General features: G+C 41.4%; 1 protein-coding gene and 1 long non-coding RNA gene across 5 annotated transcripts in view, besides 4 other annotated features; one reads left to right on the top strand and one right to left on the bottom strand.

The window, feature by feature from the left end:
* The window catches only part of LRRN1 (leucine rich repeat neuronal 1), a 50,404-nt gene extending 33,765 nt beyond the window's left edge, over positions 1 to 16,639 (bottom strand). The window contains exons 1-2 of one of the 4 annotated variants that reach the window (NM_001324188.2): positions 16,151 to 16,639; positions 14,824 to 15,105 (exon numbers count right to left, since the gene is read on the bottom strand). The gene's annotated coding sequence lies outside the window, so the exon portion shown is untranslated. Of the gene's footprint in view, positions 1 to 3,415; positions 3,602 to 14,823; positions 15,106 to 16,150 lie in introns of those variants that run through there. The other 3 variants (NM_001324189.2, NM_020873.7, XM_047448644.1) reach the window with 3 other exon arrangements.
* Positions 13,491 to 13,785: a silencer, noted in NCBI's record as "tiled region #107; HepG2 Repressive non-DNase unmatched - State 21:Repr". NCBI's record gives its function as "represses a minimal TATA promoter and a strong SV40 promoter by Sharpr-MPRA in HepG2 cells {active_cell/tissue: HepG2}" and the evidence as "EXISTENCE:reporter gene assay evidence [ECO:0000049][PMID:27701403]".
* The window catches only part of LOC100130207 (uncharacterized), a 100,062-nt gene continuing 87,434 nt past the window's right edge, over positions 15,195 to 27,822 (top strand). The window contains exons 1-2 of the long non-coding RNA NR_149025.1: positions 15,195 to 15,369; positions 26,996 to 27,156. This is a non-coding gene — a long non-coding RNA (uncharacterized LOC100130207). The remainder of the gene's footprint in view (positions 15,370 to 26,995; positions 27,157 to 27,822) is intronic.
* Positions 16,319 to 16,428: a silencer, noted in NCBI's record as "silent region_14013". NCBI's record gives its function as "represses an Ori minimal core promoter by ATAC-STARR-seq in GM12878 lymphoblastoid cells {active_cell/tissue: GM12878}" and the evidence as "EXISTENCE:reporter gene assay evidence [ECO:0000049][PMID:35858748]".
* Positions 16,569 to 16,658: a silencer, noted in NCBI's record as "silent region_14012". NCBI's record gives its function as "represses an Ori minimal core promoter by ATAC-STARR-seq in GM12878 lymphoblastoid cells {active_cell/tissue: GM12878}" and the evidence as "EXISTENCE:reporter gene assay evidence [ECO:0000049][PMID:35858748]".
* Positions 16,669 to 16,738: a silencer, noted in NCBI's record as "silent region_14011". NCBI's record gives its function as "represses an Ori minimal core promoter by ATAC-STARR-seq in GM12878 lymphoblastoid cells {active_cell/tissue: GM12878}" and the evidence as "EXISTENCE:reporter gene assay evidence [ECO:0000049][PMID:35858748]".

The following is a 27,822-nucleotide window of genomic DNA, read 5'->3' as shown; positions in this document are numbered from 1 at the left end:
TTGTCCTTCATAACCATTAAAATACAAAAGAATCCAATGCTATGATAAGATCATCTTTATTGGCTTACCTCCTATTTTTCTAATAGAAATTGTAGTTGCATTTTGAACTTTCAATATAGAAATTTTTTATATGAAGCAAAATTAAAGTTATCTCTTAGACTAAGAAAGGGTTATTTCTTAATAAAATAAATTTTAGAGTAAATTGCAGTGCAATCATATATGTCTAGGATGAACATGTACCTTAAAAATTTCTGTAGAGTTTTTGATTTAAGGGGACATAAACTATAGAATATTCAAATGGTTATAATAGTGAGGAAATACATTTTAATGGTGGTTTATTATTACTTCAAATTACATTTAATTGAGGATAATGAAGACATGGTTTGAAAACAAGATCAGAAAATGAGAATTATTTTATTGGAGAATTAAGCAACATTAAGTAGTATGCTATGCTTCAGCAACTTAGCACAAAATGTGAGCAAGTAGTTAGTTTATTTTCACTTCAGCGTTTTCAAGTCTCAAAAATCCAGCTAGTACCTATGTTGGCACTCACCAAAAAATTCTGGGTACACAAATATTACCATCAACATGTGGCTAGTAAGTAGGTTTCTGTACCATTCCAAATGCCCACAGGAATGATAGAAATGAATTAGAATAGTTTATTGAGCAACTCTTCTGTGTAAGGCACTGAGGGCAGTGGCAGGGGAGGTGGGGAGCTGTACACAAAGCAGTGGTATTCTGAGTCAGTTGTGAGCATTTCTTTCCAAATCTGAGTTCAGAGACATCACACTGGTAGCTTAAAATTGGTCACAAAAAGGAGGGCTTACCTTTTTGGAGAGCCAGTTGTTAAACATTTACACTGGTGTAAAGGCGTCAGGGCAGCAGACTTGGAATAGGGGACAGAATAGGAATGCTTTCATTTTGAATGGGATTTTGGTTATGCCACAGTAGCTATGGAAATCAAGACAGGAAGGTAGGATGGTTCCTAGATATGGAGGGCCTTTATGCTTCACTAAGGAGTTTTCTCTGATTTCTCATCCTTGTCAGAGACTTAGAAGAAAACAGATGGTACATTAAAAAGGGAATGAATACAGAAAAGTTTTAAAAAGGGACCATTTTTAAGATTCTTACTCCATTCCTGTCACTATATTAAAATACCTGAGACTGGGTAATTTATAAAGAATATAAATTTATTTTCTCACAGTTCTGGAGGCTGGGAAGTCCAAAATCAATATACCAGGAGATGTGGTGTCTGGTGAGGACTGCTTTCTGCTTTGAAGATGGTGCCTTCTTTCTGTGTCTTCACATGGCAGAAGGGGGCAAAGACAAAACTGAGGCTGTGTCCTCACATCCTCACATGGCAGAGGAGATGGAAGGACAAAAGGAGACTAAGGAACTCCCTTCAATCTCTTTTATAAGAGCATTAGTCCATTCATGAGGGCAGAGCCCTGATTACTTCATCACTTCCCAAAAGGCCCCACTTCTTAATACCATCACCTTGGGGTTTAAGTTCCAATATACAAATTTTAGAGGGATGCATACATTCAAACAATAGCATAAGGGATGGGCGAGGTTAAAGTCAACTCACAAAGGATGGGCAAACAACCCTGAGTGAGCTACCGCAGGATGCAGAACCCAACAAGAAGCCAGATGGCAAGGGACCCATTTATGGGTACAGCCCATATACATCTGATTCCTGGGGCACACAGCAAAGTGGAAAGGGGTACTGGGTGGAACTGGAGGGACATCAAGAATATCCAGCACATTACTATAGCCAGGGGGACCATTTAATGCCTCTTTACAGGGGAACTATGGGATCAGTTCTATAATTCCGAAAGATGAATCCACCAGCTCTATGTCAGAATGGAGAGGAGGCACACTAGATAGGGAGAAACTGGTTAAGAAGCACTTCCAATAAGCTAAAGGAGAGGCGATGAGGGCTAGAATTCGGGTGGTGTTGACAGGAACAAAGAAGAAGTGCCATATTTAAAAGACACTAGGGAAATATAACTAGAGAGGCATCTATTGGATACTGCAGTTGACTAGATGTGCAGACAGGGGAGGGAGGTGTTACAAATAATTTCAAGGTTGAGCCTGAGTGATGGGATGATAGCAGTTCTCAAAACAAGATAAGGGCCAGCAATGGCAGGAGCTCATTTTGGGAGTGGGGTGAGTTTCCATTTGAATGATTAGAAGAGGGTGGGAAAAGAGAGGCTGGAGTACTTCTCCTCCTGGTTCCCTCCCTGCTGGGTCAATAGGCAGGGGCTTCGTTCCTCTGCAAAAGGACGTTCTCTCTCCTCTTGTACAGCCACAGTTCACTCTGCATCCTGGAAACCACCTCTTCCTCTTGCTCCTTCGGTGATGTTGGGATTTTCAGGGTGAAAATATCCAGCAGGCATTTGGAAATATAGGACTGGAGTTTGGAAGTGAGGTTATGGTTGGAGGGAAATTTGGGAGTTTTTCTCATAATCTAGTAAGTAGAAGACTTAAGATCTCAAGGGACACAGAAAAGCAGGTTAGTAATAAAAGGGTGCAAGGGAGTCCAAGATTTACTGCCATAAAGCATGTAATAAAGGATAACTCAGCATCTTGCTGAAAAATAACCCACTCTACCCCCACTATCTTTTTCTGATAAGTATTTGGTAATAGTGTCTAAATTTACTTATAAGTCAATACAAAGATGGAACTAAAACAAATTGTTACAAGGGCAAAATGCTAACTCAGTGTTGAAATGATCTAATATTATGAACCATAATTAAGATCAGGCAGAAAAGTACATCTCTCCACTGAGGACAAATCAATAACAACTAAGTGTTATGGTCATTAGAGCACCGACGAAATTACCATCTAAAGCTTGTGAAGGATCTTGTCCACTCACCAGCAGTCACCTCTGTTCATGCGAACAGCAGCCAGATGTGGCTAAGTGCATTTTACACAATGAGTTCATGAACGAGAATGATAGCATTTGCATGCCAAGCAAGAGAAATGTTTCGGCTATCACCAAACTACTATAAAAAATCTGTATCTGTGAGCAACACAGGTGATGTGATCTCAGTTAGCAAGTATCATAATGAGAGGTTCACTACAATGAAAGGAAAGTGTAGTACAGGGAGAAAAAGGTTATGAGGAGCAGAAAATAAAATAAGCTAAGCTAACTTACTAGACACTATGTGCCACGTTCACATGCATTATATCTTCCCATTCCCACAAACTTCACAAACTTGTGGTGCTACATCTTTTTTTTTTTTTTTTTTTTTACAACCAAGATTCAGAGAAGTTAATCAGCATGCTCAAAGCCACACAGAAATGGAGGAGAAACTTTCTTCCTGGTGTGCCCGACTTGGCATATGCCAGTCCACACATGTAAGACAATGACATGCCACCTAACCAGCCAAGACTCAATAGAATTACTCACACAATTTCCCTCTCCACCAATTCAAGCCTTCTGTCATGGTGACATATCTCTTCGGTATAGGATGCAGTCTCTTCCTTCGCTGAACTTTGTACAAGTTCTGCCTTCTCTGAACTCCAAGTGCACTTTGGAAGTAGGCAGAAAAGAAAGTACCCTTTTATTCTATTCTAAGCCACACTGGTCTTCTCCCTGTTGATCAAGCATACCAAAGTCCTTCTCACCTCTGGGCTTTGGCTTACAAAGATCTTCCCTCTCCATACGCTTTGCCTGGCTAACTCTCCCATGACCTTCAGATTTTGGCTTAAATAAGTGTCAGTTCTTTAGGAAGGTCTTCTCTTAGAAGGCTTTATGTTACATTCTCCTGGCCTCGTGTACTTCTTCTTCACTGGACTTAACACAGCCATCATTTTACATTTACTTGTGTGATAATTGGATTATTGCTTTTATCTCACATCAGACAGCAAGCTCCACATGGGAAAGGAACACACATCATCTGTTTTGCTCACCACTGTACTCCCAGAAAAAGATCTGCACACAAGTGGGGCTGTAGATATCTGCCAAATGATTGCAGTGAATGACTGTCATGTTCTAAGAATTGTACCAAGTGCTTTCCCATACATTCTCATAGCAGCCCTAAGGGTAGACATTATTCCTCCATTCTACAGATGAGTTTGCGGTCAATAAATTGAGTCTTTTAACCAATACTGAGCACAGCTATTACGTGACAAAGTTGAGATTCAAACCCGTCTGGTCTGAGCCCCTGTTTTTCTGCTTTGTTGCAGAATTCCTACAGATGATCACTTAATTATTTTGATTTGATTCTATTCACTCTACCTCCCCAATGAGTCTGGAAGCTCATCTGGACAGAAATAACACCATGTACATTTTCTTCAACCCTCATATCACCTTTCTAATAGCACTTGATATTCGACATGCATTTAATGAATACTTTTTGATTAATAACACTTCCTTGGCAATAATATCACAAAAAGCATTCCCAAATGAGTTCAACTTTCTATAATAAGCTCTCTAAAGCAGTAACATAGTAATATCTCTGAGTATAATACAGGTTTATGAACTACTCATTTTCTACCAAAATACAGATGAAATAACTTTGTACAAATTATTTTAAAGCAGCAATATGGCAAAATGAAATAGACATATGATACGGAAGCCCCTTTCCTCTTTCAACGACTGAATATTTGCTAAGTACATTTTCCATGTGCCAAATGCTTTTATAGGTGCCAGGGACCTAAGACTCAGTCATAGCCTTTTCCCTTACGAAGCTGCTTGGTGGTGGTGGTACTACAGGATGTAAATAAAGATAACACATGCTAGACTTGAGTGAGGACAAGGAGATGTGGGAAGATCAAGGACAATGTGACTAACTCAGTCTGGAGGAAAACCAGAGTTAAGAGTATTGTTCCTATGCATACTTCTTACTAGCTGTACGATACTGGGCAAGATCCTTGTCTAGGGTTTTTTTTCCACATCTTTAAAATGGGGATAATACATAACTCCCAGAGTTGGTATGTGTTCCTCTCAGCACACTTAGAAAACTCTATTTATTGGCCTGCAAGGGTAGCCAGGTGACCAGCTGTGTGGTACTGGCTTTCCCCCAGAGCTAAGAGTATGGATATCTACAATTAACCTGTAAATGTGGTCACAGCAATTGGGAAGCACTGATGACGAGGATTAAACAAGACAATGAAGTTCTCCACAAATAATTACTATTTCCATTTCACAAAGAATTCAAAGAAAATCAAGTTAATGGTATTCTCAACTCTTCCCTTCATGTGCAAGTGAAAATCAGCTAGCTAAAACACGGGAGGTGCCAGGGAGGCCAACTCATAGCAACTGGCCTCTGTGGGTTCATCTCCCTAAGGATCACACCTGATTTGGCTTGCCTGGTGACTGTCTCTTTTTCTTTTCTTTCTTTCCTTTTCTTAAAGAGACAACATCTTGCTTTGTCACTCAGGCTAGAGTACAGTGGTGTGATCAGGAATCACTGCAGCCTGAATCTCCTGGGTTCAGGTGATCCTCCCACCTCAGCCTCCCAAGTAACTGGGACTACAGGTGTGCACCACCATGCCCAGCATACCTGGTGACTTTCTCTTGCTTCCAGAAAGATTTGTGGTTAAACTGCACTGTTCTAATCTGGTCCTAACCAGAAGCCTTGTGGTTTGGTCAAGATACAAGATGATGATATTGTATGATGACGATGATACTAAGAATTAACAGTAACAATGGTAGCTGCATTGTCTATGGACCATTTACAACACGCTCAGCATTGTTCTAAGAGTTTTACATGGCCAACCTTCATATCACAGTGGAGGCAGAGAGGTGAAGCTTTTGGGTTTGTTTGCTACAATGTCTTAAATTCAGCTCCTCTTGGTGGAATGATATCTCTGAACCTAACCTATTCTCTTTATTTAGAAAATGTGATTCCATGAATCACCATTTAGGGGCATTATAATATTTTCAGAGAGAAAAGAGAGAGTGGGATACAGAAGAGAATCTGGAAACAAACAAAAAAGGCTCTAATGTATTCACCTGTTTGCCAATTCTTTCAAAGCACATCAGTGGAATCCATATTTCTCATGTCTAGACAAACATAAAGCACTCTAGGGGTCCACCACGAAAGGTGACAACCATGTCAACTACGGACTTCATAAAATATCTAGTCTGAGTCTTCTTGTCCCTTAAAATCTCTCCACTTGCCTCAGAATTAGCATCCTCAGAATGCAGACTTTGTAGCAGGCAGAAATGTCAGATTTGAACACAAATACCACTTCTACTCATTGCTACTGTATACTAAGTATGTACCTTGGAAGAGGAACTGTGCTAAGGACTTTATATGCATGTTCTCACTGAATGATTCTAGTGATTCTAAGAGGCGGGCTCTATTATCATCCCCATTTTGCAGATGTAGATACTGAGGTTCCATGAAATCACTCTAGATCACAGAGCTGAGAAGCAGTTCTGAAACTAACTCTTCCCAAATCTAGGACATGCCTTGTTACCCACTCCTTCCCCTGCCTTGGGCTGCATGTCCTGTAACACTACGGCAATGACTGACACATTGCTCTGATGCTTCACTTGCATGTCAGGAGGATACCTTAAAGCAAAACAATCCTTAGAAGCGAATCTCAAGTAGTAGCTTTTAATATTGCTAGCAGTTTGAAGCTCATAAAAATCATTCAATACTTTTCATGGCCGGGGGCAGTGGCTCACGCCTGTAATCCCAGCACTTTGGGAGACCGAGGCAGGTGGATATCTTGAGGTCAGGAGTCCGAGACCAGCCTGGTTAACATGGTGAAACCCTGTCTCTACTAAAAATACAAAAATTAGCTGGGCATGGTGGCAGGCACCTGTGATCCCAGCTACACAGGAGGCTGAGGCACAAGACTTGCTTGAACCCCGGAGGCAGAGGCTGCAGTGAGCCAAGATCACGCCCCTGCACTCCAGCCTGGGCGACAGAAACAAGGCTCCATCTTAAAGAAAAAAAAATCATTCAATACTATTCATTAGATTCAGCAACCTACTTATTTCTGCAAATATCGGCAGTAATTTTTTCAAAATTAATCACTTTACCTGTCTTTTCCCTGTGTAACAAAAGATGCTTTTCAATTTTTAGACACCTAAATTTAGACAATGATGATATAACTTAATAGGCAGTGAGATGGTAAGGGTTAGGAGAATGCAATCTGTAACTATGCATTCTCATCCATTTAAAATGATTTAAAGAGGGTTTATAAATATGTTCTGTTAATAATTCTAATATAATTTTAAAAGATAATTCAATGATTGGTTAAATAAAAATACCAAACTAGATTTCAAAATTAAAAGTAGTAAAATAAAAAAAAAGTGATTTATTTTACATAGACTTTAATATGGAATTATGTAACTTTTTGAGTGGAATGGGCTAAGAGAGCTAACGTAGTCCAGTCCTCTTGTTTTATAGCTGCAATTAAAGAGGAAGAAATATAGCCAAGCACTTTAACAGTACAGGTTTAGAGTCAGACAGACCCAAGTTCAACCCCTGCTTCTCCACCGACCAGCTCTTCCCCTATCATTCACAAGTCACAGAGGCAGTTCTTGAAAATGCTCTGCCTGGAAAGCAGGAATGCCATAAACTGAGAATTCAAATAAAGGACTCTCTCCTCTAAAACAGATGTGTACCCATTCATTCATTCATTCATTCACTTGACAAATATTTATTACATACACACTAGTTGTTTGACCTTGGGCAAGGTACTTAGTTGCGGTCTGCCTTAGTTTCCTGAGCTATAAAGTGGGTGTCTACATTACAGAGTTGTTGCAAGGATTAAAGGAGTTAATGCACATAAGGTGTTGGTGATGGGTCCCAACACATTGGAAAGGCACAGTGTAGAGTATCATTATTCTACTGCTACTACTGTATGCTACGTTAGGAAAAATGGTGGGCTCTGGGGATAGAATTTGGGAGCTCTATGTAATATTTTCCTCTCGATCACTAAAGCATCTCATTTGCATAGAACTAATCTCCGCTCCAGTGCTCAATCCTGGTAGTGAAGCCATTTGGGAACTTGTTCACCAGGACTCCAATTTGACAGTGTGAATGAATGCATGAAGAGAAACATATCCCACCAGCCTTTGCCCACATATTTTGTGTTTTGCCTTCAGATGGCTTTGAAGTGACCTACATTTTTCACATGGCCTCCCCATGAGAAAGGATGAGTTTCTGAGTACGTGAGGAGGCTGGCTGTGTCCCTGTGGAACACAGCAAAGCTAACTGGTCCTTTGGGGGGTTAGGCCTTACATGTAGTCCTCACTGCACAGAACCACAGTCAGCTGGAATAACAACCTGGAGAAAGCCAGTCATTGCTACTCCACTGTCCTTATGGTTCTCTGATGGTCTGATGAGTTCATGTAGATTCCACATGTGTCCTGGAAACTCTCAGGATATGGTTGAAGTCCTACCTAACTCTCACTCCTGATCCTGGAAACCACAGAGAATGAAAAGAACCTTGAGTAGTCATGTGGCTTCTCAGTCTTACTTCTCATAGGAAACCTTACACTCATTATCCCAGAGAAACCAGAAATAAGACCTTGAGGGAAGGTTCTCTCCAAAACTCGTTCTGACGTGCAAGTCTTACTAAACAAACAAGAAAGAAACATAAACTTGTATGAAATCTGTCTCCCCTGCTCTATATGTGTGATGTGTGTGCATGTAAGTGTGCATATCTGTATACACTGGTCATTATTCTCTGATAGGAAAGTTAAAACGCTCCTATCAAAGAAAAAACAAAAATCAATGAAAACAGAAAATGATACCACTATAACATCTATTCTAGGCAGTCCATTCTTCCCACATGTTCTGGGTTGTCCCATTTTCTATCTCGTTTTCTAACTCTAGCTGCACTCTCCTATGAACCTTTCTTCCCAGATTGTCACAAGTCTTTTTTTAAGTGGCTAAGGTCAGCTTAAGATAAGCCATTAGGTAGGGGGCGTGGTTAATCCTTAGGTATAGGGGAAACCCAGCTTAAGTTTCTCTGCATGATACTTTTTAACCGATGCATCGTAGGTCCTTGCTTTCTTCGGTAACCCAAGAGCTAGCATGCTGAGTCACCGTCAGCTTGTTACCTGTTAGGACTCCACGGTCTAGGAAGCTGCTACCATCTGAGTGGAAGACACTAGGTCTGAGAGAGACAGGAGTCTCAGGTCTTATCCCACCTCCAGTCTCCCCCTAGATGGGTGACCCTAGACAAATTCAACTTGTGCTGGGAAGAGGAGCCTCACAAGACCTCTCCTTTTACAGATAAACTTCATCGAGTGACTTGTCCACAGTCACAATGAACCTCTCCATGACTCTTGTCCCTCAGTTACTGGGGAAAAGGAGAAAGAACAATCACATTTGGTTTCTCAGGATGTTATAGGTCAAATGAGATAAATATTTAAGGATTTGGCAAAGTTTAAAGCTCTAAAATATGAGGCAGTGACAGCTTTGTCAACTCAGCTGCATCTTCTCTTCATGCAGCTTGTGCTGTCCTATGTCTATTGCTATCGACTTTCTCTCTGTTTCCAGCCTCCTCTCCCGTTTACTCAAGACACACTGAATTCTGACCAACTCCTACAAGGAATTAACTCCATCTTCAGTTTAAAGTTCTTGACAAACTTAAGGAGTCTACCCTCTCTCAAGCAACCATCCAACCCCCTTATGTTCAAAGAGGCTAGATGGAAAATCGTCTCCTGCTGAGCACTTGTGTGGCAGGTGAAAGCCTGTTCTGTGAATTAACCAGTCTGTTTCTTAAAGCCTCTGCTGGCAGCTGACATCTGAGTTAAGGCTGCTGCTTCTGTACTTGTGTAGCCTGCACTCCCACCATCATAGCACGCTATGCTGCACTTGTCAGTCTCCTTTCTGTAACCCCGACTAGACTGAAGCTCACTGAGGGCAGAGGCAGGATCCTTGCGACTACTGACATTTGGACCAGATAATTCTCCGTCGTGGGGCTTCCTGTGCTATGCATTTTAGGATGTTGAGCAGCATCCCATTAGATGCCGGTATAACACCCTCATCCCACCCTCACTTGTGACAGCGATGACAAAAAGAAGGCTCCAAATATTGCCTAATGTCCCCTCAGAGGCAAAAATCACCCTTGGTTGAAATCCTCTGTGCAGAGTGCCTTTTTCCTACAGAGCACTCAATAAATACTTGTAGGAGAATGCATAGGTTGATGGAAACAAAATGCTCCAATGTACAAGCTGCAGAAAAATCAAGCTAACTTATTTCAGTTTTACTGCCTTCTGTAATGCCTGGCATACAGCAGGTGCTCAATATATACTTGTGAGGTGAACAAATGTTTAATGATTGTAAATGGCTTCCTGTACCCCTGGTAAAATTTTTCCCCTCAAGCGGGCCCAGGTGAGGTGGTGAGAAACTGTCAATGCTAGGGAGAGAAAATTTTAAAAAGAACAACAAAATCTCTTAGCTATGGGATTAGGGACCAGAAACATCACCTTGCAGAAAGGTAGGGGCTGTACCCAGACCATTAGCTCTCCATATAATTCTAGCTCTTGGGGCAGAAATCAAATTATTCGCACTGGTGATATTGAAATCATCTACCAGTGTTCCTGGATCCTTTAACGCACAACTCTGATAGAGCCATGAAGCACCGGGATGGTTGCAGGACATCCAGAAGGTCAGACATTGAGTCATTAGTGTCATTGCTGGGAATTGAGCCTGCGCCTTCCTGATTCTCTGTACAGTACTTGATTACACTGATTATTATGGATGCAAACTAAGACTTATCACTATTGTGAAATAACAATGCAGGTTAATGATATTCTTTATTGCCATGCTAACATTTTTCTTTCTAGAGGGGAAAATTATAGGCATGAAACCAATTAAGCCACCTTTCTCTCTTTTAAAGCTTTTTTAGTTTTTCTAAAGGATGATTCTTTCTGTGGCTCACTGCTTAATAGTGCAAACTCCTTTTTTGTTTCCTAGGTCTTACTGAGATAGGTGCTAATATTGGTGCTGCCCACTGTCCCCCTGCAAATTGAAAATGACTATGCTAATACATTATCTCACAAAGGGCAGTCACAAATAGGAAGAGCAAATATTTTGAAATGAATATTAAATGGACACTCTCCTGAAGAGGTTAGGCATTGCTGGAAATGCCTCCCTTGAAAATCTTTGTTTCCAAGATTGTCCTTTCCTGGACACCACTGTAGGATGGCTCTCTTCCCTGGATTGAAATGGTGGCTCCGGAATACAATGGCAGACTAATTTATGTGTTCCCCAAACTTTAAATAGTTTTCCTTTACTCCCAGTTCTACAAAATATCTGCCACAGAAACCTTTCACATAGAAGGATGTCACATGTACATTGTTAATGTAACTATGGTAACCAAAAAATGCCACCAGTGTGTCTGTTTCATACACAAATGAGGGGACAGCTGTGGAGTCCACATGTCTGCCAGTGGTATAATAGATGTGAGCTAGGACAGCCTGGGTTGGAAAATTACAACTCATTTATATTAATCGGAGCTTTCAAATAACACTCTAACCTCTGAGCAATAAAGAGTATAAATGGAAGGCAATAAGCCACTCTAAAAGCAGTTTTCACTCCATAGATTTTAAAACTAAGTGTCTTAAGCTGATACAGCAGCATCTTTAGAGGGTACTCTAAAGTCAGAGTGGACAGGACCTTGGGAATGTATTATTCCAAGTTCACCCCTAGATTCTCCGCATCTCAGGAATGATCCTCAGTTCATTAGGTACAATGGTTCCATATAAGTTAAATGTTGATGTTAATTGTGGTACTGGAGGCATGGCTTACATAAACCTTTTAGTAATCTCACTGATTATGGCAGTTAGTCCTTCCAGCGTTATTCTCCCAACTCGATTATGTTATACATGACAAAATTGAAGGTTGGTATGGGGTTAAGCAACTGATCCAAGATCATCCAGCTACGACTGGATAATAGCTTGCTAACCAACCAATCAACTGATAAAATTGTTAATAACTCCCGACATTTGCCTAGAGCTTTGAAAACATTCAAAAAGTAGAAAATATAAATAGTAGTAAAGCTTGCATATTGTTTCTTTTAAAAAACTGTAACATAAAATGGTATGTATTTTAATTATTGGATAATATGCTTAACAGTTCTACAGGGTGCCCATAAAGTCTGGAAACATTTATCATTTTATCATGGATTATAATGCAATGTCAATAAACCATTTATCATGCATTTATCTATGTTTCAGAACTCGGGAGGCTACATTCTGTAACAGATCTGTAAAGCAGGTGAATGCTAATATATGCTAAAACAAGAAATTAAAAAGCAAACTTCACCTAAAAAGACCTTTAGAACAAATGGATCCCTTGGTCACTAAAGTATTGAATTTTACAGATAGGGTTTAACTTTTATCTCTATTCTGTACTTTGAGCCAAAACAAGAGAGAATAAATGTTTTTCTGACTTCATCCATATAATTTCATCCTGAATTAAATATTAATCAGAGCTCTATTCATGAGTTAAAGATACTTTCATTGTTCCCAGAAACATATGATTCTAAATGATCATATGATTCTACAATGGAATTTGCTTTATCTCCAGATTGGCTTAACCCAAAACAGATGTTCAGCATAATTTTTTAAAATTAAATACAATATTTGAATAACCTGACATTAGTGCTGAAATGAATCATTCGGGGAACTATTATTTTGTAACTTAAAAATAAATTTTAAGTAAGCATTGTGCAAGTCTCGTAAAACTGGCATCTGCATCCTATAATTTACCATATTTTATTTATGACTTATGGCCTACTTATGGTGGTATAAAAAGCCCACCATTCTGATTATTTATCATTATTATTTATATTCCACTGGCTTGGGAAGTAGCAATATAACTCCGTAGAGACCGATTTTCTTTAGTACCTAGTATATTCCCATGAGTGTCACTGCTTTAGAATATGTGGTAATGGCTCTAGCAGTTTAGATCAAGAAGGTGGCCTTAGCACAGACTAACCAGAGAGAGATCAATGGTTGAGTTTTTCCTTGCTTTCCCAGAATTTCAGACATTAACCAGAGCTAGCTGAGGTTATGTTTTAGAAACACAGTCTGCAGTTGGATCTGGTCTTGAGATCTTTTATTTAGCAGAATGATCCTTTTCTAATAATTAAACACTTTATCAGTTTTATTTACCAAGGAATGAGTTCTAATCTGTCCTTTCATTAGACTTGCAGAATAACGATTACACAGGCAGGTTAATTGCCAAAGATAAGGTTTCACAAATGTGAGGGTCATTTTTAACTTACCAGGTTTCAAAAATATCTAGATAACTTTACAACAAAATGGTTTATAGTCTAGAAATGTCAAGTTTATTTTAAGTTACCCTTCAACTCTATCAGGAAGACATCAGGCGTGTAGAGTCAAATTAAGAGTTTATTAGAATGATTTGTTACTTTCTGACTTCTATATAGCTCTAAGACACAAAATGCAAACTTGGCTATAACATTTTCTTACTTAAATTTGATTCAATTCATTTTTCCCCATCCTGTGAAAATATTGCCTTATGTATAAAAGGCACTGAACCTGCAAAAATAACTTAAAGGAACATGTAAAATAGCAGACTAACATCTGTTGTCCACCCCTCCCCCGAAACACTGAGCCCTCCAAAACAATGTTGTCTTTTTTTTCTGGCGGGGGTTGGGGGGGTGTTGTATTTTAATGTCCCTTTCAGTGAATATATAGAATACTGGGGCAAATGCTGTTCCGTGAATAGGTTCTTTTTCCCTTCAACAGTGTTTGAGGTTGACAAAAGAAGAGGCCACTGGGGCTGGTTAGTCGTAGGTATTAATATAATCGCCTGCCTCACGTGCGGCCCACACTGCCTGCCTTTTGTTCAGCTGTCGCACAACGCCAAGAGGTGAACAGTGCAGTGTGGTCACGCAGCTAATGTTAGACACGGCAGAAAGGCCCTTGCTCCAGAGTCTACTGCACGACTACCTCCCCGTTCACTGTTATGTGACCTGAAAACCACTCGGGTAACTAGGGTTGGGACAGTTGCATCACCTGCAGTTCTACAGTTTGGTGCCTTAAGAACCGAAATGACTTTGGCTAGACAGTGGACATTCTCAGCTAGACAGTGGACATTCTCAGGAAATCTTCATGTCGGTCAACGACAACGATCTTCTACTATAATGAATAGCTCTGAAGATGAGGACCAAATTTGAGCAAGAGTCAAATTATTAAAAGAAAACTCGAAAAGTTGAGGGGTCAATTCAGAAATCACTTCAAGCCGCCAGAAGTGGGTTAAAGTTACTGTCTGCTTCACACAAACCTTTTCCTAACTAGCTTAGAATATCCAGCTTGAATATTGCACGAATATATACAGCCAGGTAAAGAGCAAGCAGCACTTTGAGCTTTCAATACAATAGCACTTAAAGAATTTGGCTCCTGAATAAAGGTGTCAGCAAACCATGGAATTCCCAAACAGAAAAACTCACACTGCGTCTTTATTCTCTTTTCTTAAGGTCTATTGTTAACTGAAGACTCCTTGTCTTTTCAAATTCCTTCATGTGAATGGATGAGGCCAGACATCTGCCAGGATCCGCTCACATTTGCATGCAAATCAGAGACTTCGGGACACATATGGCCCTGGAGCCAATAACACTTTTACTCTAGATTTATACTGATCAAAGTGCCTTCCTGAACTTTCCACTCCTCCAGCCCTAGCTTTTAAAAATGAAATAATGAGCCTATTCCACTAACATGATTTAGATTGTCATGGCAAGACAAAACAAAACATGTTGTCTTTTAGAAAATCCTCCACGCAAAAGCCAGAGTCGGCAGCACCTGTTCCCTCACCCAATTAGAATTCCACTTTTCCTTTACGATTTAGGTTTGGGAATGAAAATACTTACGGCGGGATGGGATTTAGACTCTTAGCCTTTGCCTGTGAGCTTCAAGTGCTTCAGAACCATTTGTACCCCGGCCAGTCGTTCACTCACGGCCAGGCTCTGTTCTTGGCGCTGGGGCCGCGGCGGTGGACACGGCAAGCGAGGTCCCCTTCTCCTGGATCCGGCATCCGGGCCGAAGCGCCTGGTCCGCGTTTCCGCGCGGGCTCCCCTGGAACCGTCCCGGGACACGCGGCCCTCTCGCTGCTGGACTTTTCCCCGAGCCCCAGCTTGCCAGGCAGGGACTCCCTGGGCGGGCGGCGGGGAAGCGCCGAGTCGGCGGCCGCCCACACCCCTCTCCACGCAGCACAAAGGACACTCGCCGGCAAACTTTCCTCGCTTCTGACCCGGGCCGAGCCGGGAACTCAGCGCCAGCTCTGTTCCTGGCGGGGCTGAGGCTTCCCTCACATTCCAGGCCACCTGGCAAACGTCCTGAGGCTGCCACTCCTTCTGGGCTCAAGGCTCACGGGCTGAGGTCTGTCCCCGCGTGGAGCTCAAGGCTCACGGGCTGAGGTCTGTCCCCGCGTGGAGCTCAAGGCTCACGGGCTGAGGTCTGTCCCCGCGTGGAGCTCAAGGCTCACGGGCTGAGGTCTGTCCCCGCGTGGAGCTCAAGGCTCACGGGCTGAGGTCTGTCCCCGCGTGGAGCTCAAGGCTCACGGGCTGAGGTCTGTCCCCGCGTGGACCGCCGAGAGTTCGGTAGATCCTTCCCAAGGCTCTGACTTCAATACTTTCAGTGCCTTGTCAATTATACCCCTTGCCCCTTTCTCTTACCAAGGCCACCGCCAAGACACCCTTTTTCTTTCCTCTCCCCGTCGCCCGCCACCTTCCTTGCCCTCCTCTTGGCCCTCTTTCCAGCTCCCTGGGCCCCCTTTCCGCGCTGCTCTCCAGCCCCAGCTGCCTTCCCCGGTTCACATCCCGGCAGCCCTCCTCCCTCCCCGTCCCCGGGCACCTCCCTCCCCTGGTCGGCCCCTGAAATCCAGCAGGCTCGGCTCCGGTCACTGCCTTTTTTTGCCTGTTTCTATCTGGCCTGCCTTCCCAACTATCGCTCTCCCACACCTTTTTTTTTTTTTTTTTGGCAAGGGGGACGGGGGGAAACGGGGCACTATATTCTCGTTTCCCGACTTCGTCATTTTCCCCAGCTCCGTGAGCCGCGCCCCCTCGTCCCCCTCAGGCCCGCGATCTTACCCTGAGGTTCCCCAGACCCCGTAGGGTCTCCCACGCCACCAAGTTTGCCTCGACTTCCCCTCGCTGCCTCCCACACCTCCTGCCGCGGCGCGGCCGGCCAGGGACTTACCCCGAGGCCCAGCTGGTGGGGGTGTTGGGGTGCGCGCGGACCCGGCACCCACGGCGGCGGCGGCGGCAGCAGCAGCAGGAGGAGGAGAAAGACGAGGAGGAGGAGGAGGACTAGCTGAGCGGCGCCTCCTTCCCAGCCCGCAGCGCGCACTGGCTCCTTGGGGCACCCCCGGGAGAGCACCAAGACCGGAGACTAGGCGGCGACACAGGCAACCGCTGCTGCACGGGGCTGGGCTCAGTCGGCTCTCAGAGGCCAGGGCAGGGGGAGGCAGGACTGGGAAGGAGGGTCGGAGAAGTGGGGTGCAGAGGGCGGGGCAGCGAGCGGCCAGGTCCGGAGGAAGGCGCCCCAGGCGCCTAGGGATGCCGCCGCCCGGGCTGACGCCGTCGGCCCCTCTCCCCGCCAGGCGGGCGCTTGCAGCCGCGGGCGCACGGGCCTCGCCTCGTTCACCGGCTCGTTGCCGGCGCCCGCGGTGCGCCCCGCTTTGTGCTCCCCGCAGCCGGCGTGCACCTGGTGTAAGCAAAGGCGGTCAGCTGATGGGCCGCGCGCGGATTGGCTGCTCCGCCGTCTCCTCCCCTCCCGCCCGACCCTCTTCGCGGCCTCCCGCCCCCGCCCTCGGCGCGGCCCCGTGCTGGGCACCATCTGTGGACCGCCCAACAAAGGCGCAGCGCGGCGGGGCTCGGGTGGCCGGGCCGCGGTCGCCGCTTTTTGTCTAGGGGACGGCAGGCTGCGGCTGGGCAGGGAGGCGAAGCGCACTGCCGGTTTTTAGCAAAAGACAGACCAAAAGAAAATACACGTCCGTGCTAGGAGGCCAGCTAGGCACAATGGGGCCCCATCTCTTTGCGGCGTAGAACTCGGGCTCGGGGGCTGAGAACCAGACACAGTTCGGCCTGGGGCTGTGGGAGCCAAGTTTCGGGGTGAAATCCGACCCTGCGTCTTAAAATACAGGGCGCGTCCTCGGGCTGTGTGTGCGCGCCCGGGGGCGTCCTCCGCAGACCTGGCCCGGGCCGGTGTCCCTGCCGCGGGAAGGAGGATTCGGACGCTTAACTCAGCGGCGAAGTCGCTTCCCATTGGAGGAGGCTTTCCGAAAACGTTTCTGAAACTTTGAAATTACAGCTTTCTGATTTGTGAGGGGTGGAAGTTGTGTTTAAACAGGCGGCGAGGGACTGAGAAGGCAGTGTTAAGTGGAGGTGTCTCCGAGGAAGGGGAGGAGGGTGGGGACGGAATAGGTCTTCGGAAACTGCGCGTGAACCTGCGTCTCAGCTTCAAAGTCGCCAGCCGGAAGCAGGGCTTCAGAAAAGCCTTGGCACCCTTTATTGGGGGAATCGGCTTTAAGCGAAAGCATCATTAGCCCCTCAGTACTGAACAACTTCTGGCAGAGGAACGTGGTGACATTTCATTATGATGTCTAAACTTAGAACTTCTGGAGAATTTGGAAGGATACATTATTCGAGAATCATCCTTTGGATTCTTCAAAGCCACAGGATACATTCAATGTCAGTAACCATATTCTTGATCCCTGTAACATTTATTGGCGTTTCGCTTAGGTCTCTGATAAATGTTTGACGTCTTTGTGTGTCTTCACACTTTGTTATCCTGAAACTGTGTCATGTAGACATAAATGGTCACAGTTTGTCTTAAAAGTCTTTAGGAAAAGGTGATACTAGCACTTGGGCTAGAAGGTCGTGCAGAGCAGAGGAAGAAAAAGGCCCACTGCTGTCTACAAATGAATGGGAAGATTTAAGATCTTTCAAAGCAAGTTGAGTCTAGACCCTTGCCCAAGTTTTGTAACATGATTTTGTCTCTTTCCCCCCTTTTCATGCAGATTATCCATGGAGTTAGCATGCAGATAGCATGGAGTTTGTCTGATAGAAGTTGGGCTCTGGTGGAAGTACGGAAATTGAATGGTCAGGGAAAGATAGAATGCAGGTTTCTTAGGGAGTCTCTATTAGGTTTCCAGCCTGCCTTCCTGGGAGTGGAAGAGAGATGAGGTTGTGCCCTTCAAGGAGGAGCTTTACAGAGGTAGGTCTTGGAGGAGCAGTCGGAGCAATTAATGATGGTGAGAGTTGCTCTTGGGAGGCCAGATCTAGAACAGCCTCCAGGTTTTGGAAGAGACTTCATGAGAATGGTGTGAGTCAGGGACCAAGGTGTGAATTTTGAAACCAGGCCAACACTGCTTAGGTCCCAGCCCTGCAATTTATGAGCTGTGTCCCTAATGGCAAGTCACTTTATCTCTTTAAGGCTTAATTTCCTTGGCTCTAAAGTAGGGTTAATATCAGTACTTATCCCAAAGGATTGTGATGGTTAAGTGGGAGTAAACATGTAAAATGCTTAGGACAGTGCTTAGTATATAGTAAGCATTCAACGACAGATGTAAGCTCTAGGCATTATTAGGCAGGTATTGAAGACTAAAACAAGACATCAATTCAGACAGGTGGGATAATGATTCCGCATGTGACAGAATATCTCAAAGGCACTAGCTGCTCCAGTGGAGGAAATGGACTCTGTCTCTCCACTGTTCGATTCATTTCTTTTCAAATTAGCATATCATTTATTTAAACTAATTTCCCTCTTCCCCAAGGCAAGAGTGAGAAAGGCAGCTTTTCCCATTTCTACTTGACCACTGCATGCATTTGGTTCCAGACAGAGAGAAGAGCATTATCATTAGGAAGAAATGTGTGTCAGGGATGGGGGAAGGAATTTGGGTGAGAGGATGGGGCTTGCTGTGGACAGAAGAGGAAAAATGAGCATGACAATTATGAAAGAGTCTGAAATGTGGTGTAATTATTAGAAATTTGCTGAATTGCCTGAATTGGTAATTGGTCCAAATTTTAGAAATTACCCTTTTTTAACTCTGCAAAGGGGTTTCGGGACTGTCTTGTTAACTGACACTTAAAAGCTCCTTGTCATTGGGATGGATGAAGAGGAAACACGCATTTTTGCATCATTGGACGAAGAGGAATCAATGAACCAGCATAACCAAATCTCTTACTTGCTTCTTGCTTAAAGAGCTCAAATCCATCTGAATTACTCCTAATGAGCTCACCCAGTCCTGGGATCCTGAATTTATTAGTTAGTAAAAAAGCACTTAATAGTTATTTATTAAGGTGTGGTAGAAGACCTTGGAATTTTTGAAGGAGAACGGAATTGGAGACAAGAGCCCAAGAGTTCCCAGGAGAGCAAGGTCTTATTGTTGATGTAAAGAGTTCTTGCCCCTCGATTGGCTGTGTTGAGACACTACAAACCCCTCTGGATTCCCCTACCAGCCCCTTGAGGTTCTTTAGCTTTGGTTTGAAGGAACATTATCATTGGTGTTAGCCTAATTGTACTGATCTATGTGGTAAATGAGGAAAAAAAAGAAAGATGAAACTTCAGAAGACAGTCGTATTTGAATAATCTTTAGAAGAACATCTGTATTTTGAAAAGAAAATTATCATATGCCTCTTAAAACTGCAATTTTTCAAAGTTGAAAATATGTCTCTCTCTAATTGAAATATTAATAGAGTACCGGTAGTCAGAGTTCTTTCCAATTTCTGAACTGAAATTATGATTTTAAAACAACCACCACCAAGCTCTTAGAGGGTGATGACTGTAGCTTAAAATTTTGTGACTATTGTGATCATTGTTAACTTTCATACCAAATGTATTGTTTCTCTAAGAATTTTTGACAATGAGTGGGTTTACTACATATACGTAGTTCCTGTTCTTCTCGGGTTTTGTTTGTTTGTTTGTTTGTTTACTGCATATGAAACATCCCAACACAAAAAAGGGATTAATTGACGTTTCTGTAATTAAAACTAGTTTTTGCATTTAAGCTTAAAAATTTGACATAGAACTAAAGTGACCAACCATCTTAGTTTGCCTGGGAATCTCCAGGTTTTAGTCCTAAAAATCTCAACATCTCAGGTCACACCTTAGTCTTGGATAAACCAAGATGGTGGGCGGTTCTAAATAGAACTAACATTAATAGGTTTATGGTGCTGTTACAATTTTAGTTGAGTTGCAGCTTTGCAGATATATCAAATAATGTTTTATTCCTGACTGAATAAAGGGTCCTGTTTCCACTTGTAGAACTTAGTTGTTGCAGAGATGTTGACAGTCATTGTATTGGTCCATTTTCATACTGCTATGAAGAAATACCCAAGACTGGGTAATTTATAAAGAAAAAGAGATTTAATGGACTCATAGTTCCCATGGCTAGGGAGGCCTCACAATCATGGCAGAAGGCAAAGGAGGAACACAGGCACATCTTACATGGCAGCAGGCAAGAGACCATGTGCAGGAGAACTGCCCCTTAGAAAACCATCAGATCTTGAGACTTATTCACTATCATGAGAACAGCACAGGAAAAACTCACCCTCGTGATGCAATTACCTCCCACTGGGTCCCTCCCACGACATGTGGGGATTATAGGAGCTACAATTCAAGATGAGATTTGGGTGGGGACACAGCCAAACCGTATCAGTCATCAAATCCAACTTCTTTATTTTGTAGATAAAGAAACTAAGCCCTAGAAGAGGAACTCTGCCAGTCTATTTACAAAGCCTGCACTGAAAGCTAGACCATATACTCTTTGGAGAGGGATGATGTGACCAGCTCATAGACTAGGGCCTATACCATGTAATAGGTACTCAAACTTTTTTAAAATAAATGAATCAATAAATGAATGTCTTTATGTAATCGGGTCACATTATTTCATGAGTATTTTCTTCATATCATTAAAAAGTCTTTGAAGCTATAATGCTCAATGGCTGCATAATTCTACCAACTTTTTGTTGGTGAGAAATAAGGACTCTCTCAATTATTTGCTATCACATATAATAAACAAACTTGTTTAAAATGCTATTTTGGTTATTGATCTATAGATATAAACTACACTTTGGATTATCAGGTTAACATATTCAACTTTTTCTGTTTCCTTACTGTTTACCTTTAGCCAGCCAAACGTTATTAAAAAATAAAAATATTTGTTTGCTTATGTAAAGATTTCGGTTGATAGAATTTTAGAATTTTCTTTGTTTTTAATTGTTTGCTCTCCATTCTGATTTCTCTTTTGTCTGTATAACAATAGTTAACATAAACTAAGAACTAACTCTGTGTCATTACATTACACTTAGTAGGGTTTTTTTTTTTTTGTATTGAGAGAGACAGTCTAGTGCAACGATTCAGAGCCAGAGCTCATGATTTGGGGTCCCTAGATTTACATTCCAGCCCAACACACTGTGTGAATTTGAACAATTTACTTAAGCTCTCTGTGCCTGTAATAGTACCTGTATTGTGGAGTTCTGTGAGACTTAAAGAGGTGCGTATGCAGCATACCTATGTAACAAAACTGTACATATACCCCCGGAGTCTAAAATAAAAGTTGAAAGAATAATAATAAAAAAGATGCTCAACATCACTAATCAGGGAAGTGCAAATCAAAACTACAATGAAATACTACCTCATACCCATTGGGATGGCTATTATACAAAAACAAAAACAAAAAACAAAAAACACCAGTGTTGGCGAGAATGTGGAGAAATTGGAACCTGATATGGTTTGGATTGGTGTACCCACCCAAATCTCATGTCGAATTGTAATCCCTAATGTTGGAGGTGGGGCCTGGTGGGAGGTGGGGCCTGGTGGGAGGTGATTGGATCATGGTAGTGGATCCTTCATGAATGGTTTAGCACCATCTCCCTAGAGCTGTTCTTGTGATAGGGTTCTCATGAGGTCTGGTTATATGAAAGTGTGTAGCACCTCCCGCGTCTCTTTCTTCCTCCTTCTCTGGCCATGTAAGACGTGCCTGCTTCCCCTTCACCTTCTGCCATGATTGAAAGTTTCTTGAGGCCTCCCCAGCCATGCTTCCTGTACAACCTGCAGAACCGTGAGCCAATTCAACCTCTTTTCTTTATACATTTCTCATTCTCGGGTATTTCTTTACAGTAGTGTGAGAACAGAATAATACAGAATACTTGTGCACTGTGGGTGGGACTATAAAATGATACAGCCACAGTAGAAAACAGTATGGGAGTCCCTCAGAAAATTAAAACTAAAATTACCATATGACCCAGCAATTTTACTTCTGACTGTGTGCCCAAAAGAACTGAAAGCAAGGTCTCAAAGAAGTATTTGTCCACCCACATACATAGCAGCATTACTCACAATAACTAAAACATGGAAGCAACCCAAATATCTATTGAGGGATGACTATATAAACGAAATGTGGTATATACATATGTATTAGTCTGTTTTCATGCTGCCGATAAAGACATACCTGAGACTGGGTAATTTATAAAGGAAAAGAGGTTTAATGGACTCACAGTTCCACGTGGCTGGGGAGACCTCATAATCATGGCGGAAAGTGAAAGGCACATCTTACGTGGCAGCAGACAAGAGAGAATTGAGAGCCAAGTGAAAGGGGCTTCCCCTTATAAAACCATCAGATCTCGTGAGACTTACTCACTACCACGAGAACAGTATGGGGGAACTGCCCCCATGATTCAATTATCTCCCACCAGGTCCCTCCCAGAACGTATGGGAATTATGGGACCTACAATTCAAGATGAGATTTGGGTGGGAACACAGCCACACCGTATCAACATACAATGGACTATTATTCAACTTTAAAAAGGAAATAAATTCTGACATACCCTACAACATGAATATGAAATGAGGACGTTGTATTAAATGGAGTAAGTCAGTTACAAAAAGACAAATACTGTATTATTGCACTTATATGAGATACTTAAAGTTGTCAAAATCATACAGAAAGTAGAACAGTGGTTACCAGGGCATGCAGAGAGCAGGGAATGTGGAGTTTTTAATAGGTGTAGAGTTTCAGTTTTATAAGATGAAAAGAGTTATGGAGACGGCTGGTAGTGATGGTTGCATAACGTTAGGAAAGTGCTTAGTAACACTGAACTGTACACTTAAAATGGTTAAGATGGTAAATTTTATGTTGGTATATTCTATCACCAGGAAAAAAAGAAGTGTGTATGTGCCTACCATATAGCAAGCACTCACTAATATTAATGTATTAGTTAATATAATGGTCACTGAAAACAAGTAAACCAAAGACCATCAGTGGCTTAAATAAGGCAAGTTTATTTCATACTCAAGTAACAGAGTATGCTTCTGGCCAGGTAGCCTCTACCCAGTCATTCCAGGCCCAGGTGACTTCCATTTTTTGCTTCTTCCTCCTCTATGGCTATAGACATTTTTTTCATTCACACAGAGTGTAGAGAAAGAAAGATAATAAAGGATCACACGGGAACATCCTATGGGCCAGCCTAAGAAATGGCTCATGCTATTATTGGTGAGAACCCAGTTACATAGCTATGTCTAATAGCAAGGGAAGCAGAGGAATGTAGGCTAGATATGTGCCTAGAAAGTAGACAGAGAAATTGTGCAACACATTGCAATCTGTATTAGCAATATAGCAACATACATTAGAAACACAGTCATCTCTCCTACTGTTGGCTATTATCTTACTTAGTCCTCATAACAAGTCTGGTAAGGTAAGAGAGAAAATGACTAGTTCAGGGACATCCTGCCAGTAGGAGGGCATCATTATAGCAAACAAAATGTCTATAGAACAGCTACTAGAGCGGTGCTTTCCAGTTCTCTGTTCAGTTTAAAACTATTCTTGGTTGATTGCTAACCTAATTGTCATCAACACAGTGCCTTCTTGAAGTTCCCAGAGACTTCAAGCAGGGAGAGGAAGACTGTCAGCTGCCCCACCGGCAGCTTGTACTTCTTATTCTTTCAGTAACATCTTTCTTCTTTCAGTAACCATAAAACTTTAAGGGAGTTCAGAATTGTTCCCCATAAGAAAGCGCTTAGAGACTATTGCACTGGAATTCAATGCCCCTATTATCATAAATTTAACATCCACACTTACTTTTAGTCCTAGGGGCCTATGAGGCTATAAAAGAAAGATTGGCAGATAGAGTAGACACAATTGGCTTATACACATTTTGCGGAAACACTGAAGCCCACAGAATTTCCTCTACATTTCATTTAGTACCTTCTTCTGTCAAGTTTGTCTCCATTTTGCCTGCACTTCATTTTATTTTTATGGTAGAGAACTCTCATACTTGTTATCTCTGAGTATGTTAACAGTCACTTTTGAGCAAAACATTGCCCTTATTGCATTTTTATGGATAACTAAGTATTCGCCTACTGGACCAATCATCTGTTGAAATCCATATTTTCTTGAATTCAGGTCACATTGTACTCTTGAGTCTGTATCCCTTTGCTCAAACTTTGCATCACATCCAAGCTATCTTTTGGAAAGGAGACTGAGTTTTTGAGTTTTGTAGCTTTGGAGAAAGAAGGCTGCAGATGCATTTGTGATGTATGAATGGTGACTTATCTAGTTACTAGAAGCAAGGTCATATTGTAATTCAACTCAGTAAGGACCAGAGGGTTTTGGAGCTATAAAGAGCCTTATAGATGATCTGGCTCAACCTTTTCATTTTATAGATGAACAAACTGAAGTCTCAAGAAGGCCAACACTTCCATGTACTTCAGAGCATCTGGGAAATCTGACTGGATTTAAATCCTTATCCAAGGTCCCACTGCTGGTTAATAGGAGAGCTAGGCTAAAATCTAGTTTTCTTGATTTTTCTCTTATATTAGTGTAACTTTAATTAGGATCCTCAGGCCTCCCTGAAGTTCATGGGATATACTCTTAAGAGTCTGTGACTTTGCTATATATGAACCCCAGATCACGGATAACAAAAGCAAAAGTATATGAATAGGATTACATCAAACTAAAAAACTTTTGCACAGTCAAGGAAACAATCAACAGAGTGAATAAAGAGCCTACAGAATGGAAGGACATATATGTCTCATGCACACCATACATCTGATAATGGGTTAATATCCAAAATATATAAATAACTCAAACAGTTCAATAGTAAGAAAATCACCTGATTACAAAATGAGCAAAATATCTGAATAGACATTTCTCAAAATAATGTGTACAAGTGGCCAACAGGTATATGTATATTTTTAAAAAATGCTCAAAATCACAAATTATCAGAGAAATGCAAATCCAAACCACAATGAGCTATCACTTCACACCTGTTACAGTAGTTATTATCAAAAGATGAAAGATAAATTTTGGCAAGGATGTGTAGAAAAGAGAACACGTACACACTGCTGTATAAGTTGGTTCAGAATTGACTATCCAAATATCTTAATTGTGCTGTCTCTCTCTCTCTCTATGTATGTATGTGTGTATATATATACACACATACATATATGTATGTATATATACACACATATACGTATATGTATGTATATGTATATATGTATATGTATATACGTATGTATATATGTATATATGTATATGTATATACGTATGTATATATGTATATATGTATATACGTATATATGTGTATATATGTATATATGTGTATATATGTATACGTATACATATGTGTATATATGTATACGTATACATATATGTATACGTATACGTATACATATATGTATATATGTGTATATATGTGTATACGTGTATGTATATATGTGTATATATGTGTATACGTGTATGTATATATGTGTATATATGTGTATACATATGTGTATACATATGTGTATACATAGATGTATATGTGTATACATATGTGTATACATAGATGTATATGTGTATACATATGTGTATATATGTATATGTGTATACATATGTGTATATATGTATATGTGTATACATATGTGTATATATGTATATGTGTATACATATGTGTATATATGTATATGTGTATACATATGTGTATATATGTATATGTGTATACATATATGTATATATGTATACGTATATGTGTATACATATATGTATATATGTATATGTGTATACATATATGTATATATGTATACGTATATGTGTATACATATATGTATATATGTATACGTATATGTGTATACATATATGTATATATGTATACGTATATGTGTATACATATATGTATATATGTATACGTATATGTGTATACATATATGTATATATGTATACGTATATGTGTATACATATATGTATATATGTATACGTATATGTGTATACATATATGTATATATGTATACGTATATGTGTATACATATATGTATATATGTATACGTATATGTGTATACATATATGTATATATGTATACGTATATGTGTATACATATATGTATATATGTATACGTATATGTGTATATGTATACCTATATCTGTGTATATATGTATACATATGTGTGTATATATGTATACATATGTGTGTATATATGTGTGTGTGTGTGTGTGTGTGTGTGTATATATATATATATATATTTGGAGAGAGAGAGCTCTGAACCAAAGTCAGAAGATTTGAGTGTGTCACTTGCCAGCCATGTACCTCTCTCTCTCTCTATATATATATATATATATACACACACATGCATATATATATCCAGACAAGCATATATATATATATATATATACAGACAAGCAAATATATATATATATATATATGTATATTTGGAGAGAGAGAGCTCTGAACCAAAATCAGAAGATTTGAGTGTGTCACTTACCAGCCACGTACCTCTCAATGTGCCATTGACAGTCTGTCAGCTTTCACATGCTCCCTGAGAAGTCATAGTAAAAGCATCCATCTGGCCTTCCTCCTCAGTTTCCAGATCAAATCAAACTGTTCAGGGAAGTACTTTGCAAATGGCGGAATGTGTAGACCATTTTATCATGATACTGGGATAGTGGAAGGCTCTGTGAGTGGTAGACTTCCAGAATGGGGTTCCCACAGACTGTGGCAGCCTGCGCCATGTGGATGATGTCTAGTGTAGAATTATACCAGCCAACTGCACCTGCTCCCTTTCACTTCAGTGCCTGAGAAGAAAACAGAACTGCCAGCAGACTATGGGACAAACGACTAAATGCCCTCCAGACGTTCCAGAGTCCTCTGCCTCTCAGGCTTCAGTTCTTCCTGAAGGAATCTGGAGCTGGAAAGCAGGAAGCAATTTGCTGTGGAATTTTTTCCATCACAGGTAAGTTTTAGTTTCAATAATAATAGTAATAATAATGGCTAATTAAGTATGAACTGTGTGCTAGGCATGGTGCAATTTCTGCTTGAATTCTATGTAATTCTTAGAATAATCCCGTGAGACAGTTAGATGTTATTTATTAGTCTCATTTTTTTCAGAAGAGGCCACTGAGACCTTAATGAAGTTAGATCATGTGCCCTGGATCACCAATCTGATACCAGAGCTCATGCTCTCAACTCTGATGTGATCTATAGTCCCGGATTTTATCTATGCCATAATACTAGAATCTGAAAGGCCTGCACTGTTTTGAACATATCAACACTGATACTATGTCTACTGGGGGAAAAGATTCTAAATTCAAAAAACAAAATGGATTGAAGTAGTGTCCAAGGAGCTGTCCCCAGATATATTATTTCTTTCTAAAATGAGGAACATGAGGACTACTGCTCACATTTTATTAGAATAACAGTCACATTCACAAAGTAATGTTGGAAAGTGAACAGTAGGGGATTTAAAAATGTTTGATATGTAAAAGGTGATGAATTTTCTGTTTATGACACTGGAGCTTTCTGACAGGGGCGCGCAGAGGGCCAGCCATGGACCACGTGGTTGATTCTTTTTTTTTCTTTCTTTCTTTTTTTTGAGACAGAATCTCTCTCTGTCGCCCAG

This window comes from Homo sapiens, chromosome 3 (genome assembly GCF_000001405.40).
Source record: "Homo sapiens chromosome 3, GRCh38.p14 Primary Assembly".
NCBI lineage: Eukaryota > Metazoa > Chordata > Mammalia > Primates > Hominidae > Homo > Homo sapiens.
The sequence above is the reverse complement of the archived record's forward strand: the minus strand, read 5'-3'. Positions and strand labels throughout refer to the sequence as shown.